Consider the following 18304-nt stretch of genomic DNA (forward strand, 5'->3'; position numbering starts at 1 on the left):
AATTAAACTAAAGAGCTTCTGCATAGCAAAAGAAACTACCATCAGAGTGAACAGGCAACCTACAGAATGGGAGAAAATTTTTGCAATCTACGCATCTGACAAAGGGCTAATATCCAGAATCTACAAAGAACTCAAACAAATTTACAAGAAAAAAACAAACAACCCCATCAATAAGTGGGTGAAGGATATGGACAGACACTGCTCAAAAAAAGACATTTATGCAGCCAAAAGACACATGGAAAAATGCTCATCATCACTGGCCATCACAGAAATGCAAATCAAAACCACAATGAGATACCATCTCACACCAGTTAGACTGGTGGTCATTAAAAAGTCAGGAAACAACAGCTGCTGGAGAGGATGTGGAGAAATAGGAACACTTTTACACTGTTGGTGGGACTGTAAACTAGTTCGACCATTGTGGAAGTCAGTGTGGTGATTCCTCAGGGATCTAGAACTAGAAGTACCATTTGACGCAGCCATCCCATTACTGGGTATATACCCAAAGGATTATAAATCATGCTGCTATAAAGACACATGCACACGTATGTTTATTGCGGTACTATTCACAAGAGCAAAGACTAGGAACCAACCCAAACATCCAACAATGATAGACTGGATTAAGAAAATGTGGCACATATACACCATGGAATACTATGCAGCCATAAAAAATGATGAGTTCATGTCCTTTGTAGGGACATGGATGAACCTGGAAACCATCATTCTCAGCAAACTATCGCAAGGACAAAAAACCAAACACCGCAGATTCTTACTCATAGGTGGGAATTGAACAATGAGAACACATGGACACAAGAAGGGGAACATCACACACCAGGGCTTGTTATGGGGTGGAGCGGGGGAGGGATAGCATTAGGAGATATACCTAATGTTAAATGACCAGTTAATGGGTGTAGCACACCAGCATGGCACATGTATACATATGTAACAAACCCGCACGTTCTGCACATGTACCCTAAAACTTAAAGTATAATAAAAAAAAAAGAAATTAACTAAGAGTATTTATAAGTGGAAGAGCATGATAAATAATTTTTAAAATGTCTATTTTAGACAGTTCAGGCTACTATAACAGAATACACTGGGTGGCTTAAACAACAAACTTTTTTTCTCACAGTTCTGGAGGCTGGGAAGTCTAAGATCAAGTCACTGGCATCAAGGGGCTCTCTTCCTGGTTTGCAGATGGCCACCTTCTCATCATATCCTCACATGGCAGAAGTAGGTGGGAGCCAAGCTCTTGCATCTCTGCTTAGAAAGGCACTGATCCCACTCATGAGGGTTTCACCCTCATGACCTAATTACCTCCCAAAGCCCTGCCTCCTAATATTATCACACTGGTGATTAGGTTTGGTTTTTTTGTTTTGTTTTGTTTTGTTTTGTTTTTGTTTTTTGAGACAGAGTCTCACTCTGTTGCCCAGGCTGGAATGCAATGGTGCAATCTCAGCTCACTGAAACCTCCACCTCCCGGGTTCAAGAGATTCTCCTGCCTCAGCCTCCTGAGTAGCTGGGACTACAGGCGCGTGACACCACACCTGGCTAATTTTTGTATTTTTTAGTAGAGACAGGGTTTCCCCATGTTGGTCATGCTAGTCTTGAACTCCTGAACTCTTGATCCACCCGCCTCAGCCTCCCAAAGTGCTGGGATTACAGGCATGAGCCACCGCACCTGGCCATGTTTTGGTTTTTTAAGATGGAGTCTTGCTCTGTTGCCCAGGCTGGAGTGCAGTGGTGCGATCTTGGCTCACTGCAACCTCCACCTCCCAAGTTCAAACGATTCTCCCTCCTCAGCCTCCCGGGTAGCTGGGACTACAGGCATGTGCCACCATGCCCAGCTAATTTTTTGTATTTTTAGTAGAGATGGGGTTTCACCATGTTAGCCAGGATGGTCTTGATCTCCTGACCTCATGATCCACCCACTTTGGCCTCCCAAAGTGCTGGGATTACAGGCGTGAGCCACCACGCCCAGCCAGTGATTAGGTTTTAAGATATAAATTTGGGGAGGATACAAACACTCAGTCCATAAAAATGTCTAATGATATCTTGTAACTCATGTCATATTATTTAGTTGTCTTGATAAATTTTTATTCAATACCCATAATTTCTACAAAGCTAGTGTATTTCCAGTTCCATAGATGAAGATAAACTTCCATCTCCAATCTCCATCTTCTTTTAAGCTTTTATTTCAGTTGTACCTGGGAGTAATAGAAATGGCTCTTAACTCATTCTTCCCTGAAAATAATGGACAAACAGTAGTTTTGCCACTATGTCAATGACATATATTCTCTGTGTGTATGTGTGTGTGCATGTGTATGTGTGTGTAGCTAGAACTTAAAAAGCAGTTAGTATCAGCCATCCTAGGGGCTTCACCTTGATGTTGCCTCAGGGGTAAGTACTGTTGCTCCATTTAGTAGTTGGGGAAACTGAAGCTCAGATGATTTTGACTTGCTCAAGGTCACATAGCTAGGAAGAGGTCACACTGAGGCACAGACCAGGTCTGATTCCAAAGTCATGCTCTTAACCACTGGATATACTGCTGCCTCATTTCCCACAGCAGTGGTCAGCAGCCTCTTAAGAAGAAAGAGACTAAGGAGGATCAAAGATAAAGGATAGCATAACAAATAGAAGAGGTTGACAGACAGCATTTTTAAGATTGGGGGAGTGTAGAAAAACATTTCCCACATGTAAAACTATAAAACGACTTTCTGCATATTAAGCCTTGTACAAATAGTTTTGTGACAGCAGTGACTGATGGAAAACACATTAACATGGAGAACAAGCAGCAAGTTAATCTGAATTTTAAAGAGGCTTTTTTTCTGACAGATCAGAATCATCTTATAAATTTTTAAGAAATGTGAATAGTGTCTGACATGAATGATTAAAGGGGAACTATTTAGTATTGCAAAATGAATTAAATCTCTAAAATGTCTCCGCGCAATTATGGGTAGAGGCAAAACTGTTAAAACTGGAGTGATAAATTGGGAAATTGTCACTTCCAAAAAGAAAAGGAAAAATCTGAAAGTTATCCTTCTGCAAACAAAATGCTCTTAATGGGGATGGGCCCAGAAGGCAGGGGTCTAAGCCTTAAGGGTAGGCATTGATAGGATGTGCAGCCCGAGCCTCCTAACAGGCACTGTGGTCCGGCAGAGGGAAGGCAACAGCATCGTGACTGGTACCATGGCTTCCTCTTTCTCTTTCTCCTCCCCTGACTCCAGCTGTGCTCTTCCTTCTAGACATGCAATTTCTGTTGAGCACATTCACCGCTTCTCACAGGTGTGATGGCTCCATCATCATACATTTAATAGTTTTCCAAAATCAATACCTCTTCAACATAGTGCTTTTGAAGTCATAGTTCTCCACTGAAAAGTACTCATGATGGTCCGTACTTGATAATAACTTCACCCACCAGGGAACATATTATAAAGTGGGCTTGAGAGCATGGTTATAACACACGGTGTCCATTTTCTTCATCTGCAGCTAATTCTATGGTGGAAATACTGCTGACACCAAGAACTTCATTCTGTAATTTAGAATAGAAAAAAAATCCCGACTATCCGTATTTCTTAGGAAAGCATTTTAGGAAGGAACATAGGGTTTATTCACAGTTCTGAACTCATTGTGAGGGGCAAAAATTACAGATATTTGTTAATGTCATAATTTTTCTTTCCTCAAATGGTTATTCTTCATGGACGTGAATTTACTCAAATATTTGATGGAAAAGGAAATTGCGGTATTTCAGGCTGACAGTTTGAAGGAGTCTGGGAACTGGAGGGTTTGAATTCAACTCTAGTGAAATAAATGCCATGGTGGTTGATTGGGAGAGTGTTTAAAACCTTCTCACACTGATTACCTCTTGTTGTCCTCTCCCAGATACCTCTCTGAAGATAGAGCTTGTCCAATTTTGGATGGATGGTTTAACAAATTATCAACTAGCTACATAGTAGGAAGCCATTCAAAAGGAAGATGCAGATAAGCAGTTTTCAAGCCTTTTTAAACCAGCTAAAAATCTTCTGCAGAACCCAAAATCACAGAGGAAAGTAAAGAGAACGGCTTTGCTGTAATCCAAGAGGGGGACCTGAAACGCTGTCCATGTGTTCTCTTGGGTGTGGGCCAGACACTTCCATATCCCAAGTTCTCTGGAGCACAGTTTAAAAACCATATTATATGTCAACATGTAATCAATGGTTTTCTGTAGATGATGAAATTAATCTTTCTTTCATTTTTTTCTCTCTGTATTTTTTTAAATTTCCACAAAAATGTATTTTTATAAATAGCAGAAAATAACAATTGTTTTCAAGTGACATATATAAGGAAGCCGAAAAAAGTATAGAACTCAGCTTTCTGACTCTTACTGGGGAACAAATAAGTGACAAAATAAAGTGATCCATTTTGGGTTATGTGAGAACAGAGGATTGTAGGAGAGAGATATTTGGTCTTTCCTAATTCAAAGGCTCATGTTTACTTTTCCTTCACCTGGAGATAGCAGGGATTAACAGATGTTTATTTTAACTCTGCCCTAGACACCCTGCAATAGCTCCCAGCAGATACAGTGGCCAAATCTGCTCTCCCACTGTTTAAGATTGAAGAACAAGACTGACTTCATTTTGGGAACTCGGGGGGCTCTTGTTACTTAACCTAATGGGCACTGAGGGTGGTCACTTTTGAGAGAATGATGTAAATTACCTGCAGCATTTCTACCTGAAACCTGTTCCACCCTTTCTTTTTCTAACATGCCATCATCTCCTTTTAAACTCTGAATCTCTGCCAGCTCCTTTGTTCAAGTGCTTCTTATTCCAGTGCTGTTTCCTAGGCTGGCTTTCCAGTCTTCCTGATTTCCCAGCAGGCTACAGCCAGACCACATCTATCATTTGATGGAGTTTACACTGACAGTGAGTTCAAAGTCAGTGTAAGGCTGGGCGCAGTGGCCCATGCCTGTAATCCCAGCACTTTGGGGGGCTGAGGTGGGCAGATCACGAGGTCAGGAGTTCAAGACCAGCCTGGCCAACATAGTGAAACCCTGTCTCTACTAAAAATACAAAAATTAGCCAGACATGGTGGTGCACACCTGTAGTCCCAGCTACTCGGGAGGCTGAGGCAGAAGAATCACTTGAACCTGGGAGGTGGAGGTTGCAGTGAGCTGAGATCATGCCACCGCACTCCAGTCTGGGTGACAGAGTGAGACTCTGTCTTGGGGGAAAAGAAAAAAAAGTCAGTGTGATGGGGTGATCCCAAGAGCAAATAACCTACTAGTTATAAAAGTACCTGCTTTGGAGTCAAGCAGTCAGACAAAAATCCCTGCTCTGCCATTTCTATGCTGCATGACTTGTGCCAAATTACTTAATCTCTCTAAGACTCAAGTTTTTCATTTAAAAAATAAAAATAATAAATAAAACCTGCCTCACAGCATTGTGTCACAGGCTTGCTGTGAGAATTAAATGAAATCATTTATGTAGAACACTTGTCACAACTTGTGGCATATTTTTTAAGAATTCAAATGATAGCTATTAATTATTATTATTATTATATGCTTAATATTTCTATTCTAGATTCTGGAACAAGTGAGGTGATGATGGTGGGGAGGAAAAGATCATGGACTTGTCCAGGAGACCTCAGTTCTACTTGCTCAACCTCTGTGCTGTGAAGTGAAGCTACTGTACTAGGTGAGGATCTCACCAGACAGGGTCGCAGTAAGACACAGATGGTGAACTTAATGGGTGAATTAAAAGGAGTGTAATCAAGAGATTATGTACAGAGGTGTGGACAGGGTTAAGGGAGACCATGAAGCATCCAGGGATTCACATCAGCAAGGAGCCATTGCCACCCTTGATCCCCACCTGAAAGGAACAAGGGTAGGGAATGGTGTTACTAGAAGCTGGTGAGAGTTGGAGCCCTGGAAGAGAGCCAGCCCACAAGAGCTGTAGTTATGGAGGAATTCAGGCACTACAAAAATCCTAGCCCAGCAGGCAAAAGCAAAGGAATATATTCCAGATTTGTCTCTCCTCTGACCACTAATCACTGCTGGTATCTCGCTAGTTAAATCCATCAGAAAACCATAGTATGTGGAAGTCAGCGTGCTGCACAGGGCAGGGCAGAGAAGGGAGGGAGAGTAGGCACAGAGAGTAACCAGCCTGGCAGATTTATGATTCTGAAAGTCTCAGAGAGTCTGCTACACTGGCCTGGTCATCCTGGCCTGGAGGAATGTGTTAAATAGGTGCAATGGCTCAGCAATAGATGCCCTAACTCCTCCCAGGAAAAGTGAGAACCCAAATTGCTGATCTTAGGTTGGGAAATGGAGAGCTCAGATATACCTTGGGATGTGAACTATGGCTCTAAGAATGATCTGAGAGGCAGCTTCAAAAAAGCAAAACCTAAATTACAAACCAGGCAGATGATCCAAAAGAGGTGTCAGGCTGAAGGAGCTGCGTAGAGATAGAATTCTGGGAAAAGGATAATGCAGAACCCTCAAGTAACTAGTGATTGATGATGACGTTTGGAATACAAGTATGGGGCTGGGACTGGGGACTTTCTGAGACACTAAAGTGCATTCGTCAGAGCTCTTCCAGGGCCTCTGTGGTTCAGGAATAGAATGGTATGCAATTCATTTGCTCATTAATTAATTACTTAATTCAACAAGTATGTAATTTTTTAAATTGAGATGGGGGTTGGGGTCTCACTATGTTGCCCAGGCTGGACTTGAACTCCTAGGCTCCAAGCAATCCTCCCACCTCAGCGTCCTGAGAAGCTGGGATTTTTAAGTGTGTACCACCATGCCTGGCTCCAACAAGCATGTACTGAATTATCTTGTCTGTGCTAGGCAGGGGGCCAGGTGCTAAGGCTAGAACAATCAAAAAAACACAAACCCTGTCCTGAAGGAGCTCAACTAGATGATTCCTCAAATAGGGTCAACAGCCAATCACAACACAGTATGTATGATGAGTGGTCCTGAGGGATCACAGAAGAGGGACACAACACTAGTCTGGGTGGGTAAGGAGAGCTTCTCAAGGAAGGGACCTCTATACTGACCCTGAATGCTGAATTAGCCAGAGAGGACAGGGTCAGAGAGGGAGGTGGGAACAGCTGGAGGAAGCTCCCATGTATTTAGGGGACTGCTAACAGTTCAGTAAAGTTAAGTGGGAAGTGATGAAAGTTGAGGCTGGAGGGGTAGGCAGAGGCAGATCCTAATAAGCATTCTTTGTCAGGGTGAAGACACTGAAGTCAAAGGACAGGGGAGTGACATGATCAGATTTGAATTTTAGAAAAATCATTCTGGTTCCGGTGTGAAGGGCAGAGAAAGGAAGGCTGGGCACAAAAGACAGGGAGACCAGTAAAAAAGATGTTTCAACTACCTGAGAGAGAAACCATGATGTTTAGGTGTCCCTGAACCAGGTAGCACCAGTGGACATGAGTGAACAGACTCAGACACATTTAGTGGAAGAACTGGCCAGGCTAGGTGACTGTCAGGATATCAGGATGAGAAAGAGGGAGAACTCTAGTTTGGTCACTGGGTTGCTGCTAATGCCAGTCACTGAGAGTCAAGCCACAGATGAATGAGGCACAGCTGGGTAGAGGGCAATGTGGGGACAGTTTGATAAAGATGTATCTCTCTTTTTAGTGAGTCAGCATGCTTTATATGACTGAGAATAAATCATTAAACAGATTACACTTCATGCTATATTCTGAAAGTTTGTATTACCCCAAAATTCATATGTTGAAATGTAATCCCCCATGCAAAAATGACTGACATTATTAAGAGGTGGGATCTTTAGGAGGAGTTTAGATCATGAGAGTGGAGTCTTCATGAATGGGATTAGTGCCCTTATAAAAAGAGGCCCAAGGGAGCTTGCTGGCCCCTTCCACCATGTAAGAATACAATGAGAAGGTGCCATCGATAAAGAGGTGGGCCCTCATCAGACACCAAATCTGCTAGAGCCTTGATTTTGGACTTCCCAGCCTCCAGAACTGTGAGAAATAAACTTCTGTTGTTTATAAGCCACCTAGTTTATAGTATTTTTGTCATAGTAGCCCAAACATACTAAGATACTTCATAAATGTGTTAATGGTATTGCTGGGCTGGGGTCAGGCAAGTGTCCCCATCCTATAAGATTGGGAAACACTGAATTAAATGAAGCTAAACAGTTTTTGTTATCTCAGAACTTCTCAGAGTCATTAATAGCCTAGGGCCTTTGATGTCCTAAACAGGATATCACTTGCTGTATTTATCAAATCTATTTTAGCCCCATCCCCCCACACCACCACACAACACCTATTTATATCCCTTGTAAATGTATTTCTCAGAATGGTGTTACTTAAAGTGTAGCCCAAAGACCAGCTTCAGTGTGCAAACTATTATAGTCTATGACAAGGTAAGTACAGAAATTGAGACTGTTTAGAAAATTTTAATAGCAATTTTGTGTCTTTGAATCTAATAAAAAATCTAGGTTTGTATGTTGTGTCTGCTTTTTCATCTTATCTTTCTAGTGAGTTATTTCTTTGCTAACTGACATTTTTGTAAAATACAAAGGATTGAAAGTTAAAAGCAATAACGACCACACACACACACACACACACACACACACACAAAAAACCAAAGCTCATCCTTTACCACTGGTAGTTTGAGTGTCTCAGAAGACCCTATGGAAACATGCTAGCTCAGTAGCTCTCAAACTTGGCTACCTGTTTTCATATCCTGAGGAACTTATACAGATCCTGGGTTCCACCCCTGGAGAGTATGACGTAATTCATCTGGGAAGCAGCCTGGCACTGGGATTTGGAAAGATCCCTAGACGATTCTAATGTGTACCCAGGTTGAGAATCAGTGTGGCTCAAGGGAAAGCTCAGGTTCCAGGGTATTCTTGGTTGTACTCTCACACACCTGGACAAGGATCAAGGGGGAGTTGGGAGGTGTGGGGTGGGCCCTGGCTGCACAGAGGAATCATCAGGACTCTTTAAAATGGACTTAGGCCTGGGCCCCTCCTAAACCAATGAGATCAGAATCTTTGCTCATAGTTTCTGGGCACTGGTATTTTAAAGAAATGATTCTAGATCATTCCTAAGGCAGTCAGGGTTGAGAACGATTGGATTAGGAAGTCTAGTTGCAGATGGGACAGTGTGAAAGTAATCACAATAAAAATGGAGTCACTAATTTTTTTAAAAAAAACCTTGACAGGCCGGGTGAGGTGGTTCACACTTGTAATCCCAGCACTTTGGGAGGCTGAGGCAGGTAGATCACAAAGTCAGGAGTTCGAGACCAGCCTGGCCAACAGGGTGAAACTCCATCTCTACTAAAAATACAAAAATTAGCCAGGTGTGGTGGCGCGTGCCTGTAGTCCCAGCTCCTCAGGTGGCTGAGGCAGAAGAATTGCTTGAACCTGGCAGGTGGAGGTTGCAGTGAGCCAAGATTGCACCACTGCACTCCAGCCTGGGCGACAGAGCGAGACTCCATCTCAAAAAAAAAAAAAAAAAAAAAAAAACCTTGACAAGAAGCAAAAAGGCATGGCTCTTTATGCCTGAAGTTGTAGCCTTTGTGCTGAGCAATCACTTTCAGCCCTTGTGAAAGCTGTGTTTCGGCACGTTCCATTACTTCCTAATGTGTCCTCTGAAAGAGTCTAGCTGTTTATTTCCATCAGTCACTGAAACGGACGCCTTTTACTTGGGGAAAGCACAAATGCATTAGGACTTTGTGTCTAAGAGAGAAAAAGAGAGAGGAAAGGGGAAACACATGTAGTGTAAAGACTGGCTCTGACATTTGCTGGTAGAAGTTGGGGGCAAATGATTACAGCTATTTAACAAAAATTTGTAGGAGAGTGATGGGACAGGCCTGGAAGCAACTGAATATGCCCATTTTGTTGCCACGCTGCTAAGTATGATAACAGTGATTTCTCACAACGAAACTCTGGAACATACCATTGTCTTGCCTATGTGACTGTTATGGTCTGAATGCTTGTGACCTCCCCAAATTTGTATGTTGAAACCTAGTCCCCAGTGTGGTAGTATTAAGAGGTGGGGTATGTGGGAGGTGATTAGGTCATGAGGGCGAGTCCTCACCAGTGGGATTGGTGCCTTGTGAAAGAGGCCTGAGGGAGCTTGTGTGTCCTTCCTGCCATGTAAGGACACAACTATTAATAGAAAGCACAAACTGTGGAGCAGAGAAACCTCACCAGACAGCATATCTGCTAGAAACTTGATTGTGGACTTAGCCTCTAGAACTGTAAGCAATACATTTTACTGTTTATAAACGGCTCAGTCTAGGGCATCTTTTGTTATAGCAACATGAGTGGACTAAGACATTAGCCAACATCAATTTTACCAAATGCTACAGGACAGTAATATTTGAAATTGTCTTGAAATACAGCTTGGTATTGAAATTCTTAGTTCAAAAAAATCTATTTTAAACAATATGAAACTCCAAAACCAAAGAAATATTTAATAACAACAAAAGCTCAGTAAGTAAGATCTCTTTACCCCAGGGCACTCAGCCTTAGAGAACATAAAAAGGTGTCATAGTTTGGTTTCTAGTCTGGAAAGCTCACAGACTATTTGGACTATGTAAATACTAGTAATTGTTTATGTCTGTTGTGTTATAAACTGTTCAATAGTTGTAATTTTGCTATTGCTGTTTTACACAACCTAATCATTTATCCAAAACCTCAAGTACTTACAATGTGCTAGGCGTAAAGAGCAATTGTGTTAGGCCCTGGGTTTCAATCCATAAATGAGCAAAGCAGGCATGGTTGTTACCTTCATGGAGTTTTTCTTTTAGTGGAGAAAATAACCATCAAACAAAGAATTTATTACGATAGTGGTAAGAGGTCCATTAAAAATATACGTGACTGGGCTGGGTGTGATGCCTCACGCCTGTAATCCCAATGCTTTGGGAGGCCGAGGTGGACGGATCATGAGGTCAGGAGATTGAGACCATCCTGGCAAACATCGTGAAATGCTGTCTCTACCAAAAATACAAAAATTAGCTGGGCATTGTGGTGCGCACCTGTAATCCCAGCTACTCAGGAGGCTGAGGCAGGAGAATCGCTTGAACACGGGAGATGGAGGTTGCAGTGAGCCAAGATTGTGCCATTGCACTCCAGCCTGGGCGGCAGGGCAAGACTCCATCTCAAAAAAAAAAAAAAAAAACAAAAAAAACCTATGTGATTGGCCAAGTGCAATGGCTCATTCCTGTAATCCCAGCTGCTTGGGAGGCTGAGGTGGAAGGACCACTTGAGCTCAGGAGTTTGAGGCTGCAATGAGCTATGATCACACCACGGTACCCCAGCCTGGGTGACAGAGCAAGACCCCATCTCTAAAACTCTAAGAAAGTAAAAACTAGGCCAGGTGTGGTGGCTCATGCCTGGAATCCCAGCACTTTGAATTCTAGGCCGAGGTGGGCGGGTCATGAGGTCAAGAGTTCGAGACCAGCCTGGCCAACATGGTGAAGCCCCGTCTCTACTAAAAGTACAAAAATTAGCCGGACATGGTGGCGGGCGCTTGTAGTCCCAGCTTCTCAGGAGGCTGAGGCAGGAGAATTGCTTGAACCTGGGAGGCGGAGGTTGCAGTGAGCCGAGATCATGCCACTGCACTCCAGGCTGAGTGACAGAGCAAGACTCCGTCTCAAGAAAAAAAAAAGAAAGAAAGTAAAAACTACAGAAGTACATGATCATCTCTTTCCTTTCCTTCCCTTAGAAAAAAACTATTGCCTCCCTTTCTCCTTCTCCCTCCCTCTCTCCCTTCCTCCCTTCCTTCATTCCTCAAAAAGCCATTAGGTAGGCCCAAACAAGGCAGGCAGAGTGGAGGAGACAGGCCTGAGCCGGGATAGCCTATATAAGAAGGAACAGTAGTCCAGCAGGGCCAAAGAGATCAGCTAGAGGCCAGGCGCAGTGGTTCATGCCTATAATTCCAACACGGGAGGTCGAGGCGGGCAGATCACTTGAAATCAGGAGTTTGAGACCAGCCTGGCCAACATGGTGAAAACCTGTCTCCACCAAAAAGTACAAAAATTAGCCAGGCATGGTGGTGTGCACCTGTAGTCCCCAGCTACTTGGGAGGCTGAGGCAGGAGAATCGCTAGAACCCAGGAGGCAGAGGTTGCAGTGAGTTGAGATCATGCCACTGCACTCCAGCCTGAGCAACAGAGTGAGACTCTGTCTCAAAAAAAAAAAAAAAAAAAAAAAGAGAAAGAGAGAGACAGAGAAGATAGGCTACACACAGGAAGATTGGACACATACGTAAATATATCAAAGGTTAATCTAAACCAGATTTCTCACAAGGGAAGCATAAATATGGAAAGAAGAAAACTTGAACAAACCCTTGGGTGTTGAATTGAAATTGGAGGTATTGAAGTTCTTGGTTTTCAATATGTACAAATAGAGAAATAGAGATGTAAATGTGTGTGCATATACATGCATGTATTTTCCAGCTCTGTCAACTGAAAGGAACTGGGAGCAATGAGTACACCTACTACCCAGATGTTGGTTTGCAAACCCCTCTCTCCACCAAAAGGAACCAGGCCTCCTTGGAGAAATGGCTGATTCCAGGATTGGGGCAGGGAAATTACAAGATGAGTCTAGACTATCTATCTTTTTATGGCCAAAAATAAGGAGGTGTTCAAGCAAGATGAGGACATGTTAAAAGGACACAAAAGGCAGCTTGAAGGGGCTCCCACTGGTCAAATCTGCAACAATTCATACATCAAAAAATGCCAGTAGTAATAAAGCATAATCTATTGAACTAAATAAGAAACCCATGAGTCCACATTGGTATAAATAAATGAATTATTCCATAAAGGGGGAGGAGAGAAACTTCCTTTGTGTATTAGAAAGCCTACTAATAAATGTAAAAGGAGTTATAGAGTTAGAAAATCACCATTTGGCATCAGTAATAATTATAGCAACAATTAGGCAGGAAGCATCAAAGGATGCTAAAACTTACGTGTGAAAGTGGGGTAAGTAACAGGAATTTCCACAGTCTCAAAGTTGCTGAGGAGCAGAATCATAGCCCCTCAAAGATGTCTCCATTCAAATCCCCAGAACCTGTGAACAGGACAAGAGAGACTTTGCAGGTGTGAGTAAATTAATGATCTGGAGATGGGGAAGTTGTTCAGGTGGGTCTGATGTAATCACAGGGGTCCTTGTGAGTGAAAGACAGTAGCAACAGAATCAGAGAAGGAGATGAGATGATGAAAACAGGAGTCAGAGTCTGAGAAAGATTTGAAGATGCAACACTGCTGGCTTTGAGGATGGAGGAAGGGGCCAAGGAATAGAAGCTGGAGGAAACAAGGAAACAGATTCTCTTCTAGAGCCTCCAGAAGGAACGCAGCCCTGCTGACACCTTGCTTGTAGCCCAGTGGGACTCCTTTCAGACTTATGACCTTCAGAACTGTAAGATTATTAAAATTGTGTTGTTTTAAGTCACTAAGTTTGTGGTAATTTGTTGCAAAAACAATAGGAGACTAACACCATTACAAAAGAAAAAAAGTAAGTTTACAGTGGAGAAATCTTGACAGATACTATCTTAGTGAAAGTAACCAAAATTAACACCATCAGAAACAGTCCAATAAGGGTGTACTACCAGATAAGATAGTACAATCTTATTGTATGCAATGAAAAGACACAGCATCTGTTATATTTTAACCAAAAAATGCGTAATGAAAAGACACAGCATCTGTTATATTTTAACCAAAAAATGCCTAAACTGAGGCATAAGACAACATCAGACAAGCCCAAATTGAGAGACATTTTACAAAATGCCTGGCATGTAACTTTTTAAAATGTCAAAGTTATGAAGGTCAAGGATAGGGTGGCAATTTACAGATTGAAAGATACTAAAAACAAACAAAAAAAATGACAACTGGAGCAATGTATGACCCTGGACTGATTCTTTGCTACAAAGGAGCTGCTGAGGCAACTGAAAAAATTTAAATTGATACTGGGAGACGGATCAAGGGGAATTCTTTGTACTATTCTTATAATTTTTCTGTGTAGAACTGTTTCCAAAAAAAAATTTTAAGTGGATGATTGTCATGGTAATACGAGTCTTGCGCAAGCCTAATGGATAAAGGATGTCAGAGGATTGGTGGGAGATGGGCAGGGAGTATGAAACGTGAGGCTGGACAAGATAGCACATTTGTAGGATGGAGATAATGGCCTGAGAGTGTTTCTGATTTGACCGGTGAGGCCCTTGTTCCTGAATGGAAATTAGGCTGGAGCCAGCTTTGCCTGAGTCCCTGCGCAGTCAGAGCCTCATTTAGAAACTTGGAAAACATCAACGTGATGATTATTTTAACTTAATATGGCCAGCAGATGGCAGCAGGCAACTCAGGGAAAGAACAAGAGCGAGAGACCTGGAGATGGGAGGCCCTTGGTTGCTGCTTCAGCTCAGCCAGGAGAGAGCAAAGGCCGGCTGGCTCATTGAGTTGTTGGCCATCTTTGAATTAAAGGGTTCCTGCCAGGCAACAGAACCTCTGACGGCCCAACCTCACCCCCTGGACATCATGGCGGAAAGAGGAGGACTGAGAGAAATGTCTTCATTGTGTTTTAAAGAAAGAAACGCTTACTTTTTCCTAGTAATATAAAAAAGAAAAAGATAAGACATCATTTAATGGAACCTGAATTAGATGCGTCGAGAGACCCAAACATTAAGAACAGAAAGAGCTGGATTCACGAGTCATGGGGCCCAAAATGGCATCAAGTATTTCTGAGGCCGGGCGCAGTGGCTCACGCCTGTAATCCCAGCACTTTGGGAGGCCGAGGTGGGCGGATCACAAGGTCAGGAGATCGAGACCATCCTGGCTAACACGGTGAAACCTCGTCTCTACTAAAAATACAAAAAAAATTAACTGGGCGTGGTGGCGAGTGCCTGTAGTCCCAGCTACTCGGGAGGCTGAGACAGGAGAATGGCGTGAACCCGGGAGGCGGAGCTTGCAGTGAGCCGAGGTCACGCCACTGCACTCCAGCCTGGGAGACAGAGCAAGACTCCATCTCAAAAAAAAAAAAAAAAAAGTATTTCTGACAATGATAATAAAAATAGAGCCTCAGTTTATTTACCTGTAAAATGGGAACAGAGTATTTTGCAAATCAGATGAGTCAATATATGCAGAGTTTTTTATAATTTTTTTTTTGAAACAGGGTCTCACTCTGTCATCCAGGCTTTAGAGAGTTTAGAATAGTGACTGGCATGTGGTCAGTACTTAATAAAAATTACCTGCAATTATTATTATTTACTGAACACTTACTGTGGCCCAGGCATTCAGTTAAGTGTTTTATGTATGTTATATTATTTATTCCTTACAACAGTCTTTTACTATATATTTTATTAACTCAATTTAAAAATTTCAGACTCAGAAAATTTAAATAATTTACACATGTACCGAATGCCTATTAGGGACACTGTGCATTCAGTAGGAATAAGGACAGACATGGTCCCTGTCCTCCTGTAACAACCATCTGTCTAGTTGAGGGTCATATAGCTAGCCAGAGTACAGTCAGAATTTGAACCCCGGTCTCTCTAATTCAAAAGCCTTGCTCCTCTTTGGCTGCCTTCCATAATAAAAAGAGTGAATTGGCCGGGCGCAGTGGCTCACGCCTGTAATCCCAGCACTTTGGGAGGCCGAGGTGGGCAGATAACGAGGTCAGAAGATTGAGACCATCCTGGCCAACATGGTGAAACCCTGTCTCCACTAAAAATACAAAAATTAGCTGAGCATGGTGGCGTGTGCCTCTAATCTCAGTTACTCAGGAGGCTGAGGCAGGAGAATCACTTGAACCAAGGAGTTGGAGGTTGCGGTGAGCCAAGATTGCGCCATTGCACTCCAGCCTGGCGACAGAGCGAGACTCTGTCTCAAAAAAAAGTGAACTTTTACGGAATACCCATTGTGTGCCAGGAACTTTACATACTATGTAGTTTACATATTCCCCAACCAATGAAATAAGAATTATTGTCACCACCATTATACATATGAGGGGATATTCAGTGACTTGCCCAAAGACCATGCCACTAAGGAGCAAGCACAAATACGTTATGTATTTGAAGTCCATGCTCTTTCCATGGCAACACACTCTAGATGCTTCCTAGGGTTAGAAGGGATCTGCACCAGCATCATCCTCATTCTGTCCACAAGTTACATCAAAGTCCAACCCAGGCGGGTCATGCAATCAAAAAGATATCTTGGTAGTAAGGATCCTCTGAGATCTTCAGATTCAACTCTTTGAGCAACTTTTTTTTTTTTTTTTTTTGAGACAGAGCTTTGCTCTTATTGCCCAGACTGGAGTACAATTGTGCAATCTCGGCTCACCGCAACCTCCGCCTCCTGGGTTCAAGTGATTCTCCTGCCTCAGCCTCCTGAGTTAGCTAGGATTACAGGCATGTGCCACCTCACCCGGCTAATTTTGTATTTTTAATAGAGACGGGGTTTCTCCATGTTGGTCAGGCTGGTCTCGAACTCCCAACCTCAGGTGATCTGCCTGCCTTGGCCTCCCAAACTGCTGGGATTACCCACGTGAGCTGCCGCGCCTGTCCTGAGCAACGTATTTTAAAGTAGACACAGAAATCCCTATCAAAACTGGCACAGCAAACAAAGGGAATGTATTGGTTAAAGTAATAATTGGTTGATTGATGAAATACTCAAGGAATACTTCAGCTTCAGAAATGTCTTCATTAGGAACGAATTTCTCACTCTATCATTGGATGTCTTTCTTCTGTGCTGGCTCCATTCGCAGTCCATTAGAAAGAGAATTCTCGCAGCTGAGTTCTAACTCAATCTTTGCCACATTCAAACACAAGTCTTGGGTCTGATTCTCATTGGTCTAAATTGGGTCACCTGCTCATCACTGAACCAATCACTTTGGCCAATTAGGGCCTACCCTTGAAGCTGAAGATTGTCAACCTCTCTCACACCTGATGAGATTTAACAGCAGGGAGGGGTTATTCTCCAAATACAATTTGGGGCATCTTTCTACTCAAAGAATGAATGATTGTGGTGGTTGGATGACAAAAACAGCAGATGTCTCCCACACCTACATTCTAATCAAACTGAACTATTTTGTAGCGTCTGAGGCACATTCTCTACTTTCCTTCTGGCAGGCTGTTGGTCACATTCTTCTCTTGATTAGTACACATTGTTCTCTTGGAACACTTGATCTCCCCCTTCCAATATTTCCCAAACAATCCTCTCTGGCCTTCACAATTTAAATACTATCTCCTTATTTCCAATGGATATAATCCCTTCTTTCTCTGAGTATGAACACCTCTCACAGTTCTCTTATCTTCCCATTATATTTTAGTTATTTATATAAATATAAATAATCTTAAATTTTGAGTTAGATTCCTTATGTTAATGAAGAAGATGCTTATAATCTACAGAGGAAAGAATTATATTTAGAAATTTTAATCAATGGCAAAGATGAATACCTTAGTGAGTTCCTTAAAATCTACATCAGTAGACTCCAAATGAATGAGAATTTACTATAACTAGAGACAGATTACATTTTAACAGTAAAATTTATTTTCAGATTAACTGAAGTTAAGCACCACATTTCCATTGCAACCCTTAATGAAATATTTGACACTGGGCGATCTTTAATGCTGTAAGATATCTCAGTGTCTAAAAGTGAATCATTCTGGAAATGGGTATTCCTCCTTGAGTGAGTGCAATAGGTAAATTCCTCAGTTATTTGTCTTTCCCTCATGGGACTGTAAAATCCTTCACACATATGCTGGACTTATATCACTACAGCCAAACACAGTGCTTAGAATATTTCAGGCACTCCATAAATGTTTGTTAAATGAAGGAATGAAGGAATAAAAGCAACAATGATTGAGAAAAGTATGTGTTTATGTGTTTATCCTTTTAGATGTTTTGAAAAACAATCTCCAGATGTCAGTTTATTTTGCTGTCTTTTGCCCGCTCCTGCTGAAAAGGGAGCACTAAAATAATTTCCAATGAAGGGTTTTAGGTCATAGGTTGAAAGAATGCTAGTGCTAAAGGAAATATCCACTGCCTACTGTTCCTGGCAGTTAGCAGACACTAAAGTGGTGTGAGAATGGATATAAAAGAAGGATAGGTGACTTTTACTATGCATAAAACCATAAATCCTGAAGTCCTAACAGATTATACAGTCAAGGTTCTGATGGTCCACTTAAAATGGGTGGATGAGGAGTATTTAAGGAAGAAACTATTTACAAGGGTATAGACAGAAATTGAGCACATTTTCTTTTTCTTTTTCTTTTTTTTTTTTTTTTTTTTTGAGACAAAGTCTTGCTTTTGTCCCCCAGGCTGGAGTGCAATGGTGCAATCTCGGCTCACT

The 18304-nt window shown here is 42.2% G+C and overlaps 1 long non-coding RNA gene across 2 annotated transcripts, besides 1 other annotated feature; it reads right to left on the reverse strand.

Annotated features, from left to right (window-relative positions):
* Window positions 1-2043: 2043 nt before the first annotated feature.
* On the reverse strand, window positions 2044-6432 carry LOC105378831 (uncharacterized). 2 transcript variants are annotated; one of them, XR_947561.2, is made up of 3 exons: window positions 6394-6432; window positions 3335-3532; window positions 2044-2207 (listed from the first exon to the last, which is right to left on the reverse strand). It is a non-coding gene; the product is annotated as an uncharacterized LOC105378831 (long non-coding RNA). The 2 variants fall into 2 exon arrangements; XR_947560.2 differs by having other exon boundaries at window positions 6321-6426.
* Window positions 14286-14435: an enhancer, noted in NCBI's record as "active region_1281". NCBI's record gives its function as "activates an Ori minimal core promoter by ATAC-STARR-seq in GM12878 lymphoblastoid cells {active_cell/tissue: GM12878}" and the evidence as "EXISTENCE:reporter gene assay evidence [ECO:0000049][PMID:35858748]".

This window comes from Homo sapiens, chromosome 1 (genome assembly GCF_000001405.40).
Source record: "Homo sapiens chromosome 1, GRCh38.p14 Primary Assembly".
Taxonomy (NCBI): Eukaryota; Metazoa; Chordata; class Mammalia; order Primates; family Hominidae; genus Homo; species Homo sapiens.